The sequence below is a fragment of the Homo sapiens genome, chromosome 9, assembly GCF_000001405.40.
Source record: "Homo sapiens chromosome 9, GRCh38.p14 Primary Assembly".
In the NCBI taxonomy this organism is placed as follows: Eukaryota; Metazoa; Chordata; class Mammalia; order Primates; family Hominidae; genus Homo; species Homo sapiens.
The window spans coordinates 121,178,060-121,202,107 of record NC_000009.12 but is presented as its reverse complement, the minus strand read 5'-3'; the positions used below and the strand labels follow the sequence as shown (position 1 = coordinate 121,202,107).

General features: G+C 36.6%; 2 protein-coding genes across 3 annotated transcripts in view, besides 5 other annotated features; one reads left to right on the top strand and one right to left on the bottom strand.

Moving 5' to 3' along the window:
* The window catches only part of GSN (gelsolin), a 131,360-nt gene extending 130,735 nt beyond the window's left edge, over positions 1–625 (bottom strand). For both annotated transcript variants that reach the window (NM_001353054.1, NM_001353053.1), the window contains exon 1: positions 508–625. The gene's annotated coding sequence lies outside the window, so the exon portion shown is untranslated. The remainder of the gene's footprint in view (positions 1–507) is intronic.
* Positions 88–307: an enhancer, noted in NCBI's record as "active region_28918". NCBI's record gives its function as "activates an Ori minimal core promoter by ATAC-STARR-seq in GM12878 lymphoblastoid cells {active_cell/tissue: GM12878}" and the evidence as "EXISTENCE:reporter gene assay evidence [ECO:0000049][PMID:35858748]".
* Positions 88–787: a biological region, named in NCBI's record as "H3K27ac hESC enhancer GRCh37_chr9:123963761-123964260".
* Positions 126–625: an enhancer, noted in NCBI's record as "H3K27ac hESC enhancer chr9:123963761-123964260 (GRCh37/hg19 assembly coordinates)". NCBI's record gives its function as "activates a minimal SCP1, AML or CMV promoter by ChIP-STARR-seq in primed H9 embryonic stem cells {active_cell/tissue: H9 hESC(primed)}" and the evidence as "EXISTENCE:reporter gene assay evidence [ECO:0000049][PMID:30033119]".
* On the top strand, positions 239–23,975 carry RAB14 (RAB14, member RAS oncogene family). Its single transcript, NM_016322.4, has 8 exons — positions 239–469; positions 8,689–8,747; positions 9,884–9,937; positions 11,377–11,554; positions 15,089–15,155; positions 18,710–18,797; positions 19,148–19,178; positions 20,535–23,975. The coding sequence occupies exons 2-8, from the start codon at positions 8,696–8,698 to the stop codon at positions 20,710–20,712; spliced, it is 648 nt and encodes a 215-aa protein (NP_057406.2). The 5' UTR covers positions 239–469; positions 8,689–8,695; the 3' UTR covers positions 20,713–23,975.
* Positions 318–787: a silencer, noted in NCBI's record as "silent region_20232". NCBI's record gives its function as "represses an Ori minimal core promoter by ATAC-STARR-seq in GM12878 lymphoblastoid cells {active_cell/tissue: GM12878}" and the evidence as "EXISTENCE:reporter gene assay evidence [ECO:0000049][PMID:35858748]".
* Positions 808–1,057: a silencer, noted in NCBI's record as "silent region_20231". NCBI's record gives its function as "represses an Ori minimal core promoter by ATAC-STARR-seq in GM12878 lymphoblastoid cells {active_cell/tissue: GM12878}" and the evidence as "EXISTENCE:reporter gene assay evidence [ECO:0000049][PMID:35858748]".
* Positions 23,976–24,048: the final 73 nt, after the last annotated feature.

Below are 24,048 nucleotides of genomic sequence, written 5' to 3'. Positions count from 1 at the left end.
GACTGCGCTTGCGCATACGCGCTTTCCACCTTCCCTCCGGGCGCGAGCGCCCGTGGGGCGGGCCTCAGCGGCGGCGCGACAAGTCCAGAGGTGAGGGCTGAGGAAGGGGCGTGGCTAGCGGGCTGGCCTCAGCCACCCTCTTCCGGGCTCCGCCAGCTGCGCGCGCATCTTCTCCCCCTTCTTTTGTGGTCCGGCCCATTGCGAGGGTGACAGGAAACCCTGTGCAGGGAGCGCCGCCATCTTGGACCAGCCCGAGGAAGATACTGAGGGAGCACAGGAGCAGTCACCGCTGCCACTGCTACTGCCGCTACTGCTGCCGGCGCGTCTGCACCTCTCGGCCTGCCAGTGTACCTGCCGGCGCCTCGGTCGACCGCCCCCGCCCCCTCTCCCGCTGCGTCCGCACTCCTGTTCCTGGTCCTGACGCCCCCCTCCCGCCCGGAAAGCTGCCCAGCCACCAGCAACCCCCCAGGTAACCCGGGCCTTCCGTAGTGTCCGGCCGGCTGATACCTCCTCGCGCCGGGTTCTTCAGAGGGGCGTGTGTGGGGACGGTGGAGACTGGGCCGCAGGCGGGCGGCGCCCCGGGGCCAGGCCCCGTCAGGCCGTGGCTAGCCCGTGGGTCGGCGGTGAGCGCCGCGGCGCCGGCCTGACAGGACTCCTGGGCGGGGGCGGAGGTGTCCCCTGCGCGGCTCCGGCCTGAGCCTCCTGCCCTCCCCAACCGGCGGGGCGCTCCGAGGCGTGCAGGGAAGGGTGTGTTCCGGCCTCGCCTTCCCCGCCTTCTCGGCGCGGCTGGGCAGGACCGCATCTCCCGCGGGCCCCCCTCTCGCCGCTGTTCCCCGCGGCCGCAGCCCGCCCCCGCAGGGTGTACCCACGCGTGCCGCGCCGCCCTGCAGCCCGCAAGCCCCAGACGTGGCGGTCCCGTCCCGTAGGCCGCGTCTGGCTCTGAGTACAAAGGCAGCTCTTCGCAGCCCTCTTGGCGTCTCGGGGCAGCTCCGGTGTCCTTGTCGATGTGGGGAGCCCGGCCCTGCAGCCGGGCCGGGCCGGGGCCGGGGTCTGGGTCTGTGCGCCTGTGCTTGCGATGTCCTGGTTTTGGTGCGTTCCTGTGAGGCCCGTGGACAGCCTCTACGGCCCTGAACCTACAGAGCATCTAGAAATAAGAGAAAGTTGTGGCATTTCTAGAATCTAAGAGAAGACGACAGAGCTGGAGTGTTTTAAGCGTTTTAACTGTGGGCCAGGTACATATTTATGTATTTTTGTACCTATTTATCTTGCCCCGCGTAGCCCTCGGAGATAAGTTGTCTCCACTTCATAAGTGAGGAAACTGAGGCCTAAAGTTGTGATGTGTGTCTGGCTGTTGATGGTACATTACAAACTGGCTTCGGCTCACACTGTGGCTGGTGGTTTCTGTACTACATTCAAAAATTAGGCTAGGGTTACAGACATGACCATTTATAATGTAGTTACAACTTTATTCCTTTTTTACTGTGTTCGCATTGGATGACAGCTGATTACCCTTTTATGACCTAAAGTCCATAAAGTCAACCACTACACTGGCAAATCCTCATGCTTACAAACCCCAAAGGAGAGATGCCAGGATTTCAGTTTCATATATGAAGAAGAAACGGGTTCCAAGAGGACAGGTGCCTTCCTGGTGACCCCACAGCAAGTGTCAGAGCCCAGATTTGAACTCTTGCAAAGTTTACTGCTCATTTCGTTACTATCCCAACTGCCTTTAAAAAATTCTTTTATTTTTCTAAGGTAAATATTGTAGAGGAACAACTGCCTTTTATTTAGATTTGATTGTTGAAGACAAACTTGACCTTGCAGTAATCCAGCTCCTACCCCTTTATTCCCCCAAGCCTTTCCAAATTTTTTCTTCCAAGTTCTGTTTAGGCAGTTTTATTTGATCATGCCTAGAGGTATGTCGTGGTTAAGAGTTTTGGAGTCATACTGTCAAGGGTTCTCCCTCCAGTACTGCCACTTCCTAGTTAAGTGATCTTAAGCAAGTTACTTAACCTTTCGGACTCAGTGTCCTTATCTATAAAGGGGATAATTGGACCTGCATCTTAGAGTTGTTGCTAGGATTAAATGGGGTTTAAAGAAAGCCCTTAGCACATTGCTTGGCATATAGTAAATCAGTGCCTGTAACAGTGCCAGGCACATAGTGGGTGTTTAATATCTTTTGAATGAATGAGAGAGGAGTATAGCTTTGGAGAGCTACATGTAGAGTTAAACCTGGGCCTTAATTCTAGCTCTCCATTTAGTAGTAGTATGACCACGGGTAGATCACTTCGGTTTCCTTATCTGAAAAATGAGTTTTTAGGATTAGAGACTGTTTATAAAGTAGCTGGCATGTGTTAGGCCCTCAATAAATGGCAGTTATTGTAAAGACGTAAAACCTTAGATTATAATAGCTATTAAAAAATCCCTTGAAATTAAAGCTACATCTTAAAAAGTTGTTGCTTTTTTTGTATTACAGTTAAACTTTATCATTGTTGCATACTTCAACTTTGCAACAGAATTTGGAGTGTTCATTTTTATCAATATCAAATATCTTTGCATAGTCACAGTAAGATATTGTGCTAGTGGAGGAAACTTGATTAAGGTAAATAAAATGTGAAAACTTGGGCTATTGAGAGATGTTTCATGTTTTTTAAAAGAGGCTTGAAACATTTTTATGTGGTAAAAAATGCCAGGCATGGCTAAAGACAACAGTTTGACAAATAGAAGTATTAGAGGTACTGTACTTGACTTTTAAAAAGCTTCTTATTCTAGACAATTTTAAATATATACAAAATCAGGTAGCATACTGAGCATTCATATACCTATCAGCCAGTGTCAACAGTGATCAGTCTTGCTTCATCAATATACACTTGCCTCCTCCTTGCCAAATTATTTTGAAGCAAATCTCAGACACAATATCGGTAGTAAAATTTTCACTATTAATCCTTTTAACTTGAGCAGTAAGTGCAGGGGTTTTTTTTGGCTTTTTGGTTGTTAAGTGCTTTCTTTCTGTAAACAGAGGTCCAGTATTAGAATACTTTATTTCCTGTATATAGAAGACCATCAAAGTTACTTTTGCCACATTAAGCAATCCAGCTTTTAAAAATGATTCACATTATTTATATAAAAGTGACATTAAGTATATTGTCAAAAGTAAGGTTTTTTTTTTAAGTGGGTGGGCTACTTGTACTACTGTTGAGGAAATTGACCACTCATTTTTATTAGATTAGATTATTAGATTAACTACAGAAGTTTTATCCGCCTGACTGACAAATCAGGTAGTAGTGGTCCATTTTAGTGGGCCTCTAAAGCAAGTCAGCATGCTTCTGTTGTTGAGTTCCACGAAGGCAGAGACAGTGTTGTCTTTTTTGATCATTGCTGTCTTGCTAAAGCCTGGCACAATGCTTTGTGCTTAGTAGATACTTAACAGATATGTTTATGTTGGAACTACAGAAGCAGTCCATCTCAGCTCTGGTATTTTTAACAAAACGTCGTGCATGTTAAAAAACAAACAAAAAACTTATCAGTGGAAATAACAAGGATAAGAATTAAATTACCTGGAATATTTAATGGGTTGCTTTTCCCTTGTTATGTCTTGGATCAGCTATGTAAAAATTATACAGTAACATCATAGGTTCTAAGGAGTAGAATAGCTGTATAACAGTTTTTAAAATCAGAGCAAACAGTAAGTAGTTAAGCTATTAAAAAACTCCCAAAAATATGCCCTCTACTATTGAGTGTTGGTTTTTCTATTTTGAACCCAATCGTATTATTGGCTTCATAAGATATTCCTCTTATTATCAGTAAATGCGGAAATAATGTTGGGAATATTATGAGTGGGAGATTTGTTTGTTTTTGTTTGGGTATTCTTTAACCTGTATTAAAATAGAAAAGGGCTTTTGAAATATTTATCGGTAGAGAAAATTTTATTTTTAATTCATTATAGTAAGTCAGTGCAGGGATATATAAAGAAAAGTTAATAATTTCTCTATTCCCTGTTTCTCCTGTCCATGTATTTTTCACAATTTGGTGTGTATTCCATATTATATGAATATAGGGTTGAGTGTGTGTGTGTGTGTGTGTGTGTTTGAAAGTGGGGTATGCTGTTGCATAAAACTCTGCAACATGTGTTTTTTCACTTAACAAAATCATGGATGTATTTCCAGGTTAATGCATATCAATCAAAATGGTTTCTAAACTACATGGATATTATTTTGTATTATAGATGTACTTTATTCAGTCATTTCTTTGCTGATTATTTCCAGTTTTTTGCTGTAAAAATGGTGCATTAAATGCACTAATACCTGTAGCCTTATGGGCTGAAGCTTTTGTATATGTAGGATACTTTCTGGGCCAAAGGATGATTTGGATTATTGTTAAGATTTTTAAACATACTGATTACTTTCCAAAATGTTGGCACATTTCCACAAGCAGTATGTATGAAAGTGTATACCTTCACATCTGTACCTACATGTTTCAAAACTAGTCGTTTATATGTCTGTGTAATCTTAGAAAGGTGTCTGATTCAGTAAATAGAAACCATGCATTCTATTTTTGTCACAACAATAATTAGTGTTTAATATTTGTTCAGTAACCACTTAGATCTAAATGTACTGACATGAAAATGTGTCTATCATTTTGTTGAGTAAAAGAAATATGCAGAATTTTACAAGATGGCGTACCCCATTTTAAAATACATTTTTCACCTTAACAGTGGTGAAAATGGTGGTGAAAAATGGTATATTTTCACAGTGGTGAAATGGTATGTTTCCCCAGTGGTGAAAACTGGTATGTTTCATGTTCAGGAGATGAGGTTGAGAAATCCTTTATTAAAGCAATATTAAGCATATTAATATTTTTAAGGAGTCAGTTGAATACATGGCACAGTTGTTAGTGTTTACTATGCATTTAGTAAATATTTCTCTTGGCAGCAAGGGTAGTTTATAGCTAAATTTTACATGCACTAATATCCTTCCTCTTTCTCTGATTTTTATTTTATCAGTCTACCTGTACATACCTGAAATAAGCTAATAATACCTTAGAGAAAATCATGGTCTTTGGAATCAGGCCTGGGTTCAAGTTCTAGGTCTACCATTTACAAACTTTATAACATTGGCCAAATGAGTGAATTTCTCCAAACCTCAGTTTCTTTAATTTTTTGCATGGACATAATGATAATGACTCTGCAGAGTTGTGAGAATTAAGTAAGAATTATAAAAAGTAGTATAGATCATTACATGGTTTACTCTCAAGTGTTCTCAAGAAACTTTTTCTAAGTAAATGAATTATAGTATTATAAGTTAGTATTACTAGTATTACCAGTCATTTATATCTATAAATTCTGACTGCAGTGCATCCTCTGAATGTAATTCATGTATCTTATTCAGAATATTAAATTATAATTAAGCGAGTGAATACTGCAGAGCTACATGGTACAGCTGATAACCATGTGGAGGAGGCACGACGGTGGAGAGGGCAGGATGGTGTGGTGGTTAAGAGGGGATCTCTGTAGTTAAAACAGTCCTAGGTTCAGTACAGACTTGGCTGTGTGACCTGGGCATGTTACCTCTTGAGTCTGTGTCCTCATCTGTAAAATGAGGATAATAATTAACTATGTTATAGGATAGTAGTAAGGATTAAATGAAATTGTATGTAAAATATTTAGCACATTGCCCGGCATATGTCAAGTACCCAATAAATAGTAACTCACAATTGTATTTCTTATTAGTTTGCAAATTGTTGATTATGTGTTAAATGCCTGTTGTCTAAATATGTGGTACTTTTTTTCCTTTAAAGGCAATAAAGATCTTTTACTTACATATGAACTTGATTCGAATACTTTCTGTAAAATGTGGAATAAAGTGAATTTTAATTGTCCCGGTAGTTGTATACAAGTTATAGAATATTACCAGGATTTTTTTTTTCATTTATGGGGATTGTAATGTTAAGTGGGCTCATGTTTTCAGAGTTTGAACCAGACCAGCATTTCCTGTCCTTTTTTTTAGACTCAAGAGTTCTCTAAGTAAAGCAAAAGTACTGTTAAATAATAGGGGAAGAATTTTTTCCCTTCCAAAGTTAGGTAAAAATATATTCCTCACCTTAACAATAGTATGTTTCATGTTCAAGAAATGAGACTGAGAAATCTTTTGTTAAAGCAACATTAAGCCTATTTAGTATTGAATATAATTCTACTGCAAATACTTTTGACTGAAATGTATTAATATCAGTCAACTATGGGAATATATTTAAATCTAGACAGTATCTTCTTAGAATAAGAAAGGGAAGACCTGTTGTGAGTGTTGGTGGCTACAGTGTTAAATGTTTTCTGCCTTTGTTTACTGAAATTAGTAAGTTTGAGTAGTTTTCCTTTAATTCTGCTTTTATGGTTTTTATTTGTAATTTTTAAAGAAACGAGCAAGAAAAATGTGTGGTGTGGTGAGACAGAGCCCTGGTATTAAATCCGAAATAGTGATCATTTCTTTTATTTGGAAATAGTTTCTACTATATGAATGTTTGTAATTTTAAGATACATTTTCAAAATTAGTTATCTCACATTTAATGAATGTATGATAATTAGCAGGTACACAAATTAGTACAACTAAAATTGGGTCACAATTTTATGATAGTCTTTAAAGCATTTGAAGTAGAAATTTGGGATTGTTAGAAGTCATAGCTTTAACATAAAATAGAAGGAGCAAAGTATGTACAGCTACAACCTTTAGTTAGAAGAGGGAAAGAAATTAGGAAAATCAAGGGAGAAGAGCACAGAAGAGACAGTAATTTGAAGGTGACTAAGTGATTACTTTTACCCAGGTTTGAATGGGGAAAGAATTTAGAAGAATTAAAAATTGATTAGAAGAGTCGGAAGAATTCAAGTTAAGAAGTTAATAATCTTTAAATATTTTTAATGTAAGAGATTACTTTTCCCCCTTGTGTTTGGCATCTGGTTCAGAGATCAGGTAAATAATCCAGACCAGTTTTAGTCTCAGGACCAAGTTCATTCTTAAAAGTTTTGAGTTCCTAGTGCCTGGAAAAGGGAATAAAGTTGTTGTGATGTTCAGAATCAGTTAATCTAACTAGAAAAACTCCCTTTCCTGAAAGAACTGGTTAAGGGAGTTTTCTGTGATGCAGGAGACTGATTATAAATGTGTTAGAACATGCCAAACTGGAATGGGTAACAAGGCTTCTACTTTCACTAAATGTAATACAGATAGCTAAGTGAGAAGACTGTAGTGTGTGGAAGTGATTAATACTTTACTGTAATTAACAACTTCCTCTTCCCTTATAATAATACACTTGTTTTAAATATATATTCTTTCTACGGGTTCAATGTTGTTATATAGAACTTTTGCTTGAAATATGGTATATAGTAAGGTGATAATTTCAGTAAATAAATTTCTCCAGTCATATTAAATGTCTGGCTTGTGTAATGTGACATTGACAGAAACACTAAAAGCCAGGCTTAAAAATACTGTAAGTCAGATTTTTTTAAATGGGTGAAATCTTTATATGTATAAATAATTTTTGTCTTAAGCTGAAAGCTGGTTTGAGAATAAACTTTATTGAAAGTTATTACCAGTTTTACAGTTCAGCCCCTTGTTTCTCTCTAGGACCTAGCACGTGTCTTACACATTCAGATAATTCATTTGAATAAATTGGAAAGTTTTTTGTTTTCTTTTTAAGTAGAAGAGAAATTAGAATTCTTTAGGTTAAGTCTATTTGAGGGTAAGAAATGGGCTGTGATCTTTTGAAATATCTTCTAATACACAAGCTTTCAAATTTTGCAACCATAAGTACAATTTTATGACATTATTTCTTTCAGTCCCTAGAATAGTGTATGGGAAGCACTTACTATGTTGTTAATCTGGCTGGGCACAGTGGCTCATGCCTGTAATCCTAGCACTTTGGGAGACTGAGATGGGAGGGACGCTTAAGGCCAGGAGTTCAAGACCCAAGACCAGCCTGGTCTTCAAAAAATGTGTGTGTGTGTGTGTGTGTGTGTGTGTGTGTGTGAGTGATAATCTGCAAGTCCTGTATTAGGTTGAGCTATATGAAAATGCCAATAAACTTTGACTTGAAAAATCTATAGGAAGAACAGTTTCATGTGATTCAGTCTAGTTCCAACATTGATTTGGAAATCATACGATTGCTCTTTGCGCTGCTAACTGTTGATTTAAAGTAGAGTAAAAACGTTGTTTTGTGTTTATAAATTAAGTGGTTCCTTTATATACCATTCTGTTTAATATCAGAGTTCTGAACAAGTAGATCATTAGTAACTTACTTGATCAGTTAACAGGGAAGGGGACTTTAAGGGGAGAAGAGACTATAGTGATGTTTAACTTAAATTTATAAAGATTTTTTTGTTTGACAATTTTCAGATTAATACTTATTGGATTTTTTTTAAATTATACTTTTAAGTTCTAGTGGATATTAAGTGAAATATTGGAGTTGTGGTATAAATGGTTTCTTATATTTCTGTGGATAGCACATGAGAATGTGTAAGCATCATTCATCCAAGAGAATTTGTGTATTTGATCAGTTTGTGAAATGCAGTTTTATTTTGACTTACTGTAACCAACATTTGTTTGTATTCAGTGTCCTTTTCTACCTTTAAAGGATATCAGTCATCCGTTTGAATTACTTGTATATGCTTTCCTTCTGAAGTAACAGAGATTTCTTTGTTTTTAGTGCCACCATGGCAACTGCACCATACAACTACTCTTACATCTTTAAATATATTATTATTGGTAAGTTTATTTAACTTACACTCTTGTTCCCAAAAGAAGGTTAACATACAAAATATTTATATGTTAATACTTAAACAGTACCACTTCAGGACTGAGTGATTTTCTTACTGTAAAACTAAAACTCCTTTTATAAGATTTATTTTTGCATTAGCAATGCAGCTTTTGCATTGTGGCCATGGATATTTCTGTGGTACAGTGCTGGTGGGTACCTTGTGAAGTGATGTTCATTGTTCTTGAGGGCTGCTTGAAAGCTTTTTGATGCTAGGAAGTATCAGTGTTTCAAGGAGTGCAGAAACATTCCTAAAATACTGTGAAAGCTCTCAGATTCCCCTGGGTTTCTGTTATAAGGAAAAATTGGTAGAGAATATTGTTTGATTCCAAATCAATTGTGTAATATATATAAAATATAGTATTTTTCTTAATTGGTGTTTTTTTCCTTAAGTTTCAAGAAGGTTTTGCTCAAATTAAGTCTTAATGCTATTTATCCAAACATAAAACTACATTTGAAAGTACACGTTTTTCAATGAATTGTTCACATTAGAACAGTTTGCTTTCATGTTGAACTTAATGTGTCCTTTCTAATGTTTCCTTCATCAAGGGTTAACATTGCTATAGTACAGTCAGAGATGACATCTTTTCTCCTGGGGTTTTCATGTAATGCAAATTCTTTTCTTTCATAGAATAATACAAGAAGTATAAGACAGGGACCTAGTGAATCAAGCTTCCAGAACTCAGTTTGTTATTTCTGCTTGTTACATGCTACCCCATTTGTCAGTTTTTGAAATTTGTTGCTTTTATGCATGAGTTTAAGGAAAAAAACAAAAGAAAACAAAAACATAAAATTTTGAAACAGCTCAAAGTAAAAAAAATTCCATTAAAAAAATAAGCACTTCCCAGCTGGTGGCTATTTATTAACAGTAATAATTTACAGCCAAATTCTGTCACTGCTAAAGATTGGGAATAATATTCCATTTGTGTCTCACAGTGAAAACTTTTGAATCATTATAAAGTAGGAAAATAAAAATTTGTTAAGTGTCCCAGAAACTTGTGATATGTTATATGGTAAGGAATATAGCGATCATTGCATAAAATTGAGAAATGTAATTGCCACCTGAAACTTCTTTTTTTTTAAACAGGGGACATGGGAGTAGGAAAATCTTGCTTGCTTCATCAATTTACAGAAAAAAAATGTAAGTTCAATACATGAGGTAAACATTAATAGTTTTCTTTATCGCCATGTTTCTACTTTTTAGAAAGTGTCATTTTCAGTATACTTCATGCATTTAAATATAACCTTTCCCTATATTTGTACTTTTTTTAAATGGGTACAGATAAAATGAAATATGCCAGCATATTTTAGGGTTGATTTTTATACACATTATATAATCTGATTTGCTTGTTTTGATTTCTTGATGTTAAAATAATTTTTAAAAATACATAAAATAATGTCAAACTTAATCTTTTTATTCTCTGACTTTCTGTTACAGGAATTGATTGTCTTATTAGGAGAAATTTGCTGCATGTATCATTTGTTAAATAACAGATTTGAAATACTTAAAATGGAATTCTTTCTACTCTTTCTTGGGTGATAGAAGGGACCAATGTGTTGTAACTGATATGCTAAATATAGTTGAAAGTGTTTCTGTATAGTTGAAATTATTTCTTTGACATTTTTGTGCTGCTTACCACAGAGGTTTGATGTAACATTTTATGAAGTGCCCAGAAGTCTGTGTCCTTGTACTGGAGAATGGTGGGTTTAGGTTTTAAGTGGCCTCATTATAAGGAAAGGACTAATAAATTTGTTAATTGGCTTAGACATATATAACTTGTCATTGTATAATAAGTAGTATATGTTAGCCAGGTGTGGTGGCTCATGCCTGTAATCCCAGTAGTGCTTTGGGAGACTTACGTGGGAGGCTTGCTTGAACCCAGAAGTTCGAGGTTACAGTGAGCTATGCTTGTGCTACTGCACTCCAACATGGGTGACAGAGCAAGACCCTGTCTCTAAAATATATGCATATATATATAAAACATGCTGATTTTCTTTGAGACACTGATATTTTCTGGGATAAGAATCTGTTTGACTAACAACTCCTAGGGTACCAAGACCATTGATTGATCTGTTATAGATAATGATTGTAAGAAGGCTAAATGGTATAATGTTGATATTGTGAAGAATTAATTAAAATCCTTATTTTTACTTAGCAGATTATTTTAGTCGAGGGGTCAGCAAACGGTGGCCAGTGGGGCAAATCCAGTCACTGCCTGTTTTTGTGAATAAAATTTATTGGAATACAACCATGCCTGTTTTACATATTGTCTCTGGCTGCTTTTATGCCTCAGTGGCAGAGTTGAGTAGTTTGTGACAAAGACCTTTTGACCTGCAAAACTTAAAATATTTTCTGCTTGGTCCTTTCTAGAAGTTTGCTGACCCCGATTCTAGTACAGTCACATTTCCCTGACTTCTTACTTCTGGGTGTTTGTTAATTTTTTTTTTAGCGGTAGCTTTAGTCTATTTATAGCCTGTAAGTATTAGTAAGCCATTTGCTTATTTAGTGGATTTTCCCCCTCTAGGCTTAATTTGAAGTTTTCTGAAAATTGGGCTATTACTTTTTTTCCTCCTTAACAGTTATGGCTGATTGTCCTCACACAATTGGTGTTGAATTTGGTACAAGAATAATCGAAGTTAGTGGCCAAAAAATAAAACTGCAGATTTGGGATACGGCAGGACAGGAGCGATTTAGGGCTGTTACACGGAGCTACTACAGAGGAGCTGCGGGAGCTCTTATGGTCTATGATATCACTAGGTAAGAGATAATTTTTCAACCTTCATATGGGGAAAATAAATCTACTTTGGGCATTTAAAAAAAAATTGATAGGCATTTTTTTTAGTTTGTAATTGTATGACTGTGAATGAACTTACTTGTTTTTTATGGTTTCTTAAGTTGCCATGTAAAACTTGATATAACACATTGATATTTTCCAAAAGTTTTTATGACTGAAGAAAAATTTAGGGAGTTAGTTATTGGGTGAAGCTAATAGAAGAATACAGTTCTGAAAAGCAGCTTCAGTTGAATGATTTGAGGAGAAATAATATTTTATATAAAATGTTCTTTTAAGTAGAAAGCAAGCAACTCACTCTTGGGACTTACTCTATTTAGTCTCTAGTGTTAAAGTTTACACCTCTCAAAAGAAGGCCAAGCAAAGAGTTTTGCTAGTCCAGCATGGTAGATTATAAAAAACTTTATGCTTGCATCTGAAGGTGTTTGAGTATTTATTTACTAATTTTTTTTTCTCTTAAAATGGATAGAAATGACTTCAAATACTACATGCAGTAGGTTTAAATTTATTTCAACATGACTGTTTCTGGAATTCCAAAGCACTTGATGTAAAGTAATAAAACTACTGTACATAAAGGTTTGACTTTGGAGAACATGGAAAACTGTGCCACTTGATTAGACCCTGCACTGTTTGTCTACTGTAAGCTAGAAAATGAACTGGATCACCTTTCATGTTGATGTAAAGTGCCAGTCAAAAGCAATGTGACTCTGTTTCTTGGGGGTAAAGATGGGCGAGTGGGACCAAGTGATAATTAGAGTTTAAAGCATATTTCCTTTCGGAAAATGCCTTAAAAGGTTTCCTCTTGATGTGTCATAATGTGCGTTAGCATATTAAGACTCTGGGAAGTTCTGCAGTAAGAAATTCTTTGCTGTATGACTTTATTTAATTTGGTGTTTCCTAAGCTTATTTTATTGAGGAACACACTTTGGGAAATGCTGCCTTAGAATAAAGATATTGACTAATTATAATTATAGTGCCTAAAGTTTTCAGTAAATTCTAGAATTGGGTGGCCTCAAAGGGAAACAAGCCTTAATGCCCTTCATTATAGCCAGGCAATCTGTGATATGATCAAGAGTATTATGGGAAGACTGTTAATAAACCTGGCCGCCTACGCAGAACTGTCTGATTTTATAAGGAATGCATTTCTGAAGACTTCACATAATTAAAAACTCAATAAAATTTAAGTATGGTGATGTGTGCTAAGAATATTGTTTTTGCTTTTAAGCATATCTTTTAAGCATAGTTAATACTTTTGGTAAAATCTGTGTCTATTCAAGTCATCAAAAAAAGTACTTCAGCTGGGAACAACCAGAACATGCATCAACTGATGAATGGATAAACACTGTGATATATCCATACAATGAAATGTTACTCAGCTATAAGGAAGAAGGAAATACTGATACAGGCCACAACATAGATGAAACTTGAAAACATTATGCTAAGTGGAAGAAACCAGACACTAAGAGACACATACTGTATGATTTCATTTATGAAATATCGAGAATTTATATTCTGGTAAATTTATAGAGAAAGAAAGTGGATTGCCAGAGGATGGGAGTGAGTGACTTCTAAGTGAGTTCAGAGTTTCTCTCTGGGGTGATGAAAATGTTCTAGAATTAGATAGTGGTGATCAGTGCACAGGTTTGTAACTATCCTTAAAACAACTAAATTACGTACTTTAAAAGAATAAGCTTTATGATATGTTCATTATATTGTAATAAAAACTGTTACTGGAAAAGAGTACCCGAGGCTTTAGTCAGGCGCTAAAGTGATACTTTATAGTGACTTTGGTGTTGCAGTCATGACAGCAATTTTTTTCTGTTATTCTTTGACATTTTACAAACGTAAAAGTCCCTTTTTATTTTTGTCATTAACTCTCATTGTTACAGGGTGCTTTTCTAAATTGACAGCGTAGCTTGTCGTGACAGTTGTTTTGCCATAACATTTTGACATATCTAGTATTTTAGCACTTTTTTTTTAGTACTAGTACCACCAATTAATATTTGAATAATATTTATTTATAGATTTAAAATTATAATTATAGTGAATATTAAATTAATAACAATTACCAGAATCATTGGCAGAAGTTATAGTACATGTAAGTAATATGGTTTATATGATTTTGGTACTAGGCTTTTCTGTGTACTTCACTCTCTGTGTCAGCTTTGAAATTTTAAAGTTCATCAAAGTCAGTAGAAATGTTCGGACTTGTTTAAGGTTTATGCATGAAGTAGTAAAACATACCTGTTGTATAAAGTCAAGATATGCCAATAATACGAATATCAAACACAGATAAGGCTTGTGCTTTTTAAAAATTGTATTTTATCATTGTTTACTTAGAAAATTCTAAAACATTGGGGGGAAAGGGGCTATTTTGATATATATGACTTTTTTGACATCTAAGTGGTGATTTATGAATAATATGATGTAACACAATAAAAGTCTGACTAAGGAGTTCTTTTCAGTTCTCATTGGGAAAGAACTATATACTTTGAATAACAGATTTTCTATGAGAACTGGCAGCTAGAGATCATGGAATATATTCACAGGACTAAACTAGAAACACTTAAAGGACATGTGGTATTTGTAAAAGAGTTCTAGGCCTGATTTTGACACCAGTTAAGTCTTTATGGGCTTCCGTTTCCTCACATGTTAAACGAGTAAGATAGACTAACATTCTGTGAGTCTATAAATCAGAAACATTTTTAACCTCAAAAATTTTATTATCTTTGACCCCTTTGGTAGATTCTACTGTGTATGATATTACAAATATTTGGGTTTGTTTACTTATCTTAGAGCTTACTTGGCTAGTGCAAATGAGCCTATGAGTTTTTAAACTCTTGCTTGGGCAGTTAGAATTCCAGAATAATTTAGCTGCCTGATAGATAAGAGAACAAAGTTAGGACGAACTTTTTCACTGATATCTGGGGACTTGAATTCTTGTCAAATGTCTTCAAAGTCAATTTTATGCTGTTATAGTTAGCTTGCTCTTTAAATTATTAAGGAAAGGTGAATTGTATGCCAGCTTATAATAGTGTGACTTGGTTTTTAATGAAATTAAAATTTAAAGACAAGCAAAAGTGTCTTCCATTAAATGTGTCATGTTTAGGCATTTTGATACAACTTTGTGCTTTGTGATTGAAAGTCTGTATGATTTCAAAGTAATTTGAGTTTTGACTCCACATTGGCATTTCCATCAATTTACTGTGTTGTTCCTTGCTTGCTTATTGGTCTGTTTACGGTATGCTTTTAGGAGTAAACAATTTACTCCTGACCTGTAATTATCAAAGTTGTTGGATATTGAGTTGTTTATTTAAAAATATTAGGTTTGGCTAGATTTTTGAAAAGTATGCAGTTGTATTTCACAACTACTGTTCTGAGTAACTGGTCAAAGCAAAATTATTATTTTAGGATATGTTGATTAAATATGTATTTTAAATATTTAAGTTTTTTTTCTATAATTATATGGCAGTCACAAATTTAAACTTTTATTTTTGCAGAAGAAGTACATATAACCACTTAAGCAGCTGGTTGACAGATGCAAGGAATCTCACCAATCCAAATACTGTAAGTTAAATGGCATCTTATTACACAGAAAATTTAAGAACTAAGCTAACCCAAAAAGGGAAGCCATTTACTGGTGAGATTTTTGTCTTCAGGTACTAAGAATGAGAGAATTTTTATTGTATTCTTCAATTAGTTGAAGAAAACCTAACAGTTATTTTTCAGTTCTTATTAAACCAGGTTTTGCATTTTATTATACCTAGGTTTTTTGTTCATGTTTGTCATTACTATTATGAATGTAGTGGTGATCTCATGTGAAGACTATGAAATCTGAAATTATGATTTTAAAAGGGATCTGCATTAATTTCATAAAACTTTAGCATTGGAGGATACTGGGCAAAACGTAGAAGAGATCTTTCTGTACTGTTTTTTACAACTGCATGTGAATCTGCGTTACCTCAATAAAAATTTCAACTACAGGAGGAGAATTAAGGATAAAAATTTCAGTCAAAAATAAAAAGGATTCTATATGTGTTAAAACATTAGCTTCTTAACCAGACTGAGATGATATTTATTGAGATTTTAAAGGCTAGCCACCATGCTAGACTCTGCAGTATACAAAGATAAACATGGATCCTTGGTCCCAAAGAGCTTATAGTCTAGCAGGGAGAGAACCAGCAGATATGCAGATAACTGTGCTGCAAAGTAGATTGAAGCACGAATTAGAAATAGAGGGACTGGCACAGTGCTGGAGAGCCTAGGATGATCAGTGCCGTCTGGAGAGAAAGCAGCTTTACAGAGGAGTGGTGTTTGAGCTGGTCCTTGAGGGGTGAGTGAAGTTTCAGTAGATATTGTTGAGGGTATGCCAGGAACAATGTGAGGAAAGACACACTGAGCTGTGACTTGAGTTTCTCAGGAACAAGGCTTGTGTCTCACTTGGCTTTATACCCCCAACATTTGGTAGAGGCCTCCTTCAAGAACTGTGTTATCAGTGGTAAGATGAGCTTTTATCAGGAAATGGTGGTTTAATCATATTGAGAGTCAGTTAACATTGTTTGCCTATCATGCTAGGGACTGTGCCTGAAACTTTCATTTCCATTATCGCATTAAACCCAAGGTTTACATACACACCTATAGATGGGTGTTCATAGCAGCTTTATTTCCAGTAGCCCAGAACTGGAAACCTAGGTGTTTCCCAACCTGGCCATTGACAGGTGAATGGTTAAACAGTTCGGAACATCTCTATAGTGGAGTACTACTAAGCCGTACGTAGGAATGAATTCTTTATATATGCAGCAGTTGAGCTGGTTCTCAAGGGCATCATACCCAGTAAAAAAGCCAATCTCAAAAGTTTACATACTGTATGATTTCATTTAGAAAACATTCTCAAAATGACAAAATTGTAGAGATGGGGAGTAGATTAGTGATTGCCAGGGATTAGCAAAGGGGGTGGAGGGTGGTAGTGGTGTGATGACATAGAGGGCAGCACAGAAGCAGTTTCTTTGTAGTGATAGAACAGTTCTGTATCCTGATAGTGATGATGGAGATCTGCACCTGAGATAAAATTACATAGAACCACCCATGCACGAACGCACATGTGCCTGAGAATGTGTAAAAACTGAAATCTGAATAAGGGCTGCAGATTGTACCAATGTCAGTTTCCTGGTTTTGAGAGTGTATTATAGTTACATAACATCCTACCATTAGGGAAGTTTGGTGAAGGGTACACAGGACCTCACTGTTATTTTTTGTAAGTCTCTGTGACTCTATAGCTATTTCAAGTAAAATATTAAAAACAAAACTCATTGTAGAGGGCCCGTGGAGGAGTATAATAAAATTAACCTTACCGCCCTGTGTCCTTCCTGCCTCATTTATGTGCTTTGAAATAGAACCAGATCAGGAGAAAAAAAATTTCTTGAGTTTTTCTTAAGTGCTCCATTTTCTATAGAATTGCCCTTGATTTCTGTGTAGAAGTTGTGTTCTCTACCATTTTGTTGTGGGCATGTTTTGTATCTCTGTAATTAGCATGCCACTTTATGTCTTCCCTTTCAGGGAGATAAGAAGCCTTATTTGGAGATTCATAGGGAATCAGGAGCAGGGCAGTATTTCTTGTTTTGAGTACCTATCTTGTAATGGCCCTATGCTAGTCATTGTGGCTTTACCAGACTTGATTTTTTATAAATTGATTTCCTTTTTAAGTATCATTATTTTATTCTTTTAAAATACTAATGGATAGTATATGAAAGTTTCTTCCCCTTCACAGTGGGCACTTTGTCCACACTGTTTAAAGAATGCTCACTTTTGTTGTACTACTTAACTGTCCTTGCATGAGGTTTACATTCAGATAAAAATGATTATTTGGTTTATGGACACACATTTTTGAAAGTGGAAGAGCCAGGAGCTGTAATTTTACATGAAAAAAAGTTAATGGCTGAAGTGCCTTTTAGTTGAAACCATCCATTCCTAAAGTGTTCATATCTAGATTACCATATCTGTTTGGAAGGGGGAAAAAGGGAAGGATTTTACCAGTTGGTGTCAAATAAGCTCATAAATGTACAAAGACAGTTTATCCATAACCCCCCTCCCCACCCCAGGTAAAGGCCAAAGCCCTTTGCTGTTTCCCAAGGGTACATATTTTTTTCTTACAACTTTGCAGAGCTGCCTTTAACTTTGGCCTAACTTCACTTGTATGAATGGTTCCAAGGTGGATATAGGTTGGTGGGTGATATTTTGCCTTGGATTTGAACTTACTGCATACGTGCCCCCAAACCCCTACTCCCAGCTGCCCCTTGTGTATACACATAGACATCTCTTATCAGTTACTGTTAACTATAAACTCAATCCTTTCTAGGGATAGTGTGGGGTAGGATAGTATTTGTCTCAAGATCTCAGTTTGGGTTTCTACCTGAGATCTAATGTCCTCCTACCACTGACTCACTGAGTGACCTTCAGCAAGTCCTTTTGCCTTATTTGAGCTTCAGTTTCCTTACTGATAGCCTAAAGGAGTTGAACCTAGTGGCTTTCAAACTTTTTGAGGATCTCAGAACTGTTTGAAAACCTGATGGAAGCCATGAATCTTCTCCTCTAGGGAATGCCCACAATTACAGTATTTACAGTATTTCAAGGTATTTACAGATCCCCTGGAGCTTGTCCATGAACCCTTAGTAATCTTACTCAGCTATATCGTAATCTTTGGACTAGACCAGGTGTCACCAAAGTATGTATGGCCTGTGGGCCACATTCAGCCCACAGCCTGTTTTTGACTGGCTTGTGAACTAAGGATGATTTTTAAATTTTTAAAGGGTTGTTAAAAACAACAACAAAAAAACCCAGCAACGAACATGTAACAGAGACCATATGAGGCCCACAAACCTGAAGAATATAGTATTTATTCTTTACAGAAAGTTTGTCAACCCCTGACCTAGATCATTGCTAAGGTCCTTTGTAGTAATGACTTCATGAATCTGTAGCCCTGTCTAGTGGATAATTGCTAGTACTTGGTTTTCTTTTTAGGCCCAGTCATTTTTTCTATCAAGATTTTTGGATTTCAGAATTTGCATGGTTGGTTTAAATTACTGCTTTTGTTACAAGGTGTCTTTCTTTTGATCACAAATTAGGTAATAATTCTCATAGGAAATAAAGCAGATTTGGAGGCACAGAGAGATGTTACATATGAAGAAGCCAAACAGTTTGCTGAAGAAAATGGTGAGTTTCTTTAAGACTTAATGGTCACAATTGGGAGAATTTTTAAGGAAAGGTGGGCTTGACAGTTTTGTTGGTTTTTTTTTGCATTTTTTTTTTAAATGCAGACTCAGAAATCTCAAGAATGAGGAAGTAACAATGTGTTTCTATTTCTGTGTGATTTATGTTGGAGCAGTACAGTTATTTAGTGACAAATATAAAGATGCTCTCCACCTCAAACTTACATACTTTTTCATAAAATACTATGGGAGGAGTACTAAAAACTGATGGGAAACTTTTTCAGATGTTACTAAAGAAGTGCACTTGTGAGTTAGTTTGAAGTGTCCTAATTATAGTCTGAATTTTATTTTTAGGCTTATTGTTCCTCGAAGCGAGTGCAAAAACGTAAGTGTGACCAAAATACAGATATTTCAATTATATTCAAGTTTCTCAAAGTAGAACCGTATATATGAAAAGTATATAATGTATATACACATATAAAGTACTATCTATAAATGTGTAATGCTTACTGCAGGAAGAACAGCAAACATCTCTTTGCTTCCTTTTTTACATTTCAAAATAATATGAATTTTTGTTACTTAAAAGATTGTACCTTGATTATGCCTGTTGGTAACCCAGGTTAATAAATGAAACTTTGTTTACATTTCAAAAGTGTTTGACTTTTCCCAAATGACAGTGTTTGACTTTTCACAAGTGAGGTTGAGTTTGGCATCTCAGACAAGCTTGGTCAATCTGTTCTTCCTGTAATACTTCTGATCACATTAAAAAGCATGATTTAAGGGAATAGTGTCTACTCAGAAGCATAGTGAACATTTTCTAATTGTTCTTCCATGTCTGCTATTGAACTGTGGTACACCCATCATTGTTCTTCATTTATTAGGCCAAAAATTTCTTGTGGTGAGGAGAGGCTAACCTGTTTTCGTTTAGTCTCAGCTGTGCTATTAGTCCAAAGAAAACTGAATGGAGGTGTTAACGTGGCTAAGCATGATTATGTCACCATTACCCGATTAAAAACAGCTCAGTTCATGCTTGGCTGAGCAGACCATATTATTCTTGGAATTTTTTTCAGCATGTTCAGAGAGATTTCATTTCTGTTTGGAGTATCCTCTCTGTTATCACAGAAATGACCTATCTGAATTGTCATGGTGTGTATTAACATACAGTATTTTAATGATTGCATATAACACATGTAGTTGTCCAAATAGGGTTTGTAGAAAGGGCTTTCAGTACACGTATGTATGTATGCTTTCCATAGAAAGTAGTTTTCCGGCCGGGTGTGGTGGCTCATACCTGTAATCCCAGCACTTTGGGAAGCCAAGGCAGGCGGATCACGAGGTCAGGAGATCGAGACCACCCTGGCCAACATGGTGAAACCCTGTCTTTACTAAAAATACAAAAATTAGCTGGGCGTGGTGGTGTGCTCCTGTAGTCCCAGCTACTCGGGAGGCTGAAGCAGGAGAATCGCTTGAACTTGGGAGGTGGAGGTTGCAGTGAGCTGAGATCGGGCCACTGCACTCCAGCCTGGTGACAGAGTGAGTCTCTGTCTCAAAAAAAAAAAAAAAAAAAAAAGGAAAATAGTTTTCCATGTTCTCTTAGCTCAGTGTTCTGGTAATCTCTTATTAGATGACAGTGGTTAAGTTGGAGACATCATGGCAGTTAACTAAAGATTAGCAAAAGGTCAGTGTCTTGTCTTTTGTAGAAAACTGTGGTTCTCCAATAAAGTTATCAATTGCCTCTTAGGGGAGAGAATGTAGAAGATGCCTTCCTTGAGGCTGCCAAGAAAATCTATCAGAACATTCAGGATGGAAGCTTGGATCTGAATGCTGCTGAGTCTGGTGTACAACACAAACCTTCAGCCCCGCAGGGAGGCCGGCTAACCAGTGAACCCCAACCCCAGAGAGAAGGCTGTGGCTGCTAGTGACCTCTTTGCTGTGGCCCCTCATTTGACCTTTCACCTCTGTCTGTTGGAAGCAGTACTTTTTACTGCCTCATTGTCTTCTGTACATCTTACTGGGTTTAATTAAAAAAAAAGAAAAAACTCTGTTGTAAAAACAGTTTAACACAATACTAAACTGCTAAACAACTAGATGTAATCAGGTTATCAAAGGCAAGTAGAGTAATAAATCTCTCCTGCATGGTAAATCTAGACTTTTTTTCCCCCTTGTCCTCGTGATAAGTATGTCACCAATATATGATTTAAACCGAGCACTGATGCTGGACTTCATGATTTTTACCCTCCCTTTGGCAAGGCTTTGTCTCACTGTACGGTTTAATTTGGTGATATCTTAAGCCTTTCTTCCCATCCTTAACTGTTCAAGTATGTCTGTTGTAACCAATAAGTTTATTGCTGTGAAATTACTTCTGATGGTAGAGAAGGGGTTCTATAACTGCTTTTGTTTTGTTTTGGATAAATTTCCTGTTGTGTGGGTGGCATTTTTCTTAACGAGATTTGCTTCTGTCTTAGCCTCACACAGGGAAAATATCCATTTATCTTCTCTCTCGTGCTTAATTAATAGCTTTATCTTTTTTTATACCATTTTATCCTTTTCTCTTTAACAGAAAGTAAATATGTATAAAATTTGAAGGAATCGAACTAACAATACATTCTGTGTATATTATTTTAATGAAGAAAATAAATTGATTACTGGCATTGGAACAGTATAAAATACCAGTTTGTACAGTATGACCTATATGTGACCATGTTACTCCCTTCCATTTCACACAAAGAAATAGACACAACTGCAGTTCACAAGTAGTACTGGCTCCACCCCTTGGTGCTGGCAGTGTTTGGGGACATTATGCTGGAAAGAGCTCCTAGCATCAGAGGATTAACACTAGCAGATTCTGTTCCATCTTTGCACTGTTGCTTACCTGCTGATTTTCTTAACTGTTCTTGTGCAATCGACAATGTGCTAACCTGCTTTTCTCTTTTTGTAAACGTTTTTGCATTACAGGCTGCATTCTTGCCTTACTGTATAGAAAAAGAAAAAAGGCTGGGTTTACTATTGCACATTTTAAGCTTTTATACCTTTATCTTCTTGGAATGGTCAGATTCTGAACTGGACAGTCAGAACCACAGGTCTGCTGTTAAGGGATTTTAAATTGTGCATTTTTAACCCTACAGTGAAATAACTTAAGATATCCCTGTGTTCACAGTGTGAGGGGCTGTTTTATGTCATGTTGGCATAAATTGTTTTGTAAAAGGGAAAGTGTTTCTAAAGGTGTTTCAGCGCTTGTGCTGATACAAAGTAAGTTATTACTTTGCACCAGGTGGTTTGGCCACTGAATTAATACTGTATAGCAAGAGAAACAATCTTATTTTTTTGGACAACATGTTTTATTAAGTTCTTCATTTCTGTTGATTTTTTTTATTGCATTTATGATTCAGTGGCTGGGAATTGAGAATTTATTTGAAATAGAATAGGTAACACCTCAGCGTACTATAGAAAATGCACTCAGCTCAACTGCTGTGTTTAAAATACACATTTTAAATCCCTCTTTACAGACACTAACATAAAAGTACATCTTTCTGGGTTGTAAACATGTGGTAGTACCAGAGTATTGTATAGTCAATGTTAAATAAAAGCCAAAACTGGAATGTGCAGAAAGTAGGCTTTGGTTAATTTGTGGATTCATTTTTATTTTTGTCTTTGTTTAACTTTTTAAAAAATAAGATTTCTGGAGTAGATTGGTATATTCTGTTAAAGACTTACAGTGATCCATTTTGCTTACACTGTTGCATCACAAGGGACTCACCCAGGGACCATGACCTGCTGGTGTGTGTGTATATTTACAAAAACAAAACAAACAAACCACCCATTGGGATATAAGGTAGCAATCACAAACTAAAGACTGCGGCTTGTTGAGGTGCAATACCCTGACTCCCAAAGTTAGTTACAGTGGGTTTTATTGTTTTTGTGACTGAAGGATTTATTCAGACTGCTGTACTCTTCATTTGATGTAACAAAATGCTATTAATCTAAATATTTGTAAATAAAGTACCTGTATCTAGATTAAATTAAAATTGGTTGCATTATTTTCTGAACTATAATAGGGTTTTTCTTCAGGTGAACAATTTGACGTGTCATCAGTTTTTATTGCAGCACTGTCCATATTCATTGTATAAAGAGAGGTCTACGTATGTAGCATATAAAACCACATCACTAAGTAATAGACCCACAGCTTTATTCTTGTGTTTACATTACCCTTGAAATGTTTTCAGTCAACCCTTTTCAGTGTAAGATCAGCACATTTGGTGGCTGATGCTGTTCTCCTTTGACTGTACCGGGAGCCAGATTCTATCATATGCATGTGTAATCCCCTGTAATACACTCAGGTGCTCACAAATAGAGCAGATTGTCATATTGTAACATGCGTGTGCCAGACACCGGGCAGTACACTTTGGAAAGAATGTGAAATCCTTTTAATTTTTAATCCATAGCTTACTGCTTGTGCAGTCACCTGCCTCTTGAGGTTGCTCATTGCCCTTGGACCTGTGAGGAGGCCTTCAGATTAGTAATTGGTGCTTAGTACTATTTATGCTTAAATAGATCTTCCAGTACAATGTTGAAGTCTTTTTTATGGATAATAACGTGTTTGATGGAGTAACTTATTATTTTTTTTTGGTTGGTGGTTTACACGTTAATAGAGGTAGTACAATTTCTTTGGAAAGGTGTCTTTTGAAGCCAGCTGTTAAGCTTCATACATTACCTCCCTTCTCAAATTCGGTAAGACAGTAGTTTTGGGGAACTTTTTTGCCCATGTGTCTTTTAAGTGTGATTTTAAAAAAATGAGTGGTTCAGTTCATTCCCCTAAACAGAAGAAAAGACCAAATAATTACCTTCCATTCCTCTTCATGTGGGAATATAGAGAGGGTTCATGTGGCATTTTAGAGAAAAGATAATTTATCCTCATTCAACACAGGCCCAGAAAATTGTGTCCCAGAAGGATGTCAGTAATTGTGACTAGGCCAGGCCTTTTAGCATTTTGCTAAGACTTGAAACAAAAAATGTAAATACAAAAGAAATCAAGTTTTGTTTTGAAAGATGCCTTCTAGAACTTACTGTGTATTAATAAATTGTCACTTTCATTGTCTTTATTGTAACTCCATTGATCCCGTATCTTAACGGTTCACGTCTAGCCAAATAACTGTTTTGGAATAAAAACCTTGGTGGTGAGGGATGACTGCACTGTGCTGCTCTGTATTATTAGTAACAGGGTAACATACCTGTTGTGACTCAAAAGCTGTCTAGTA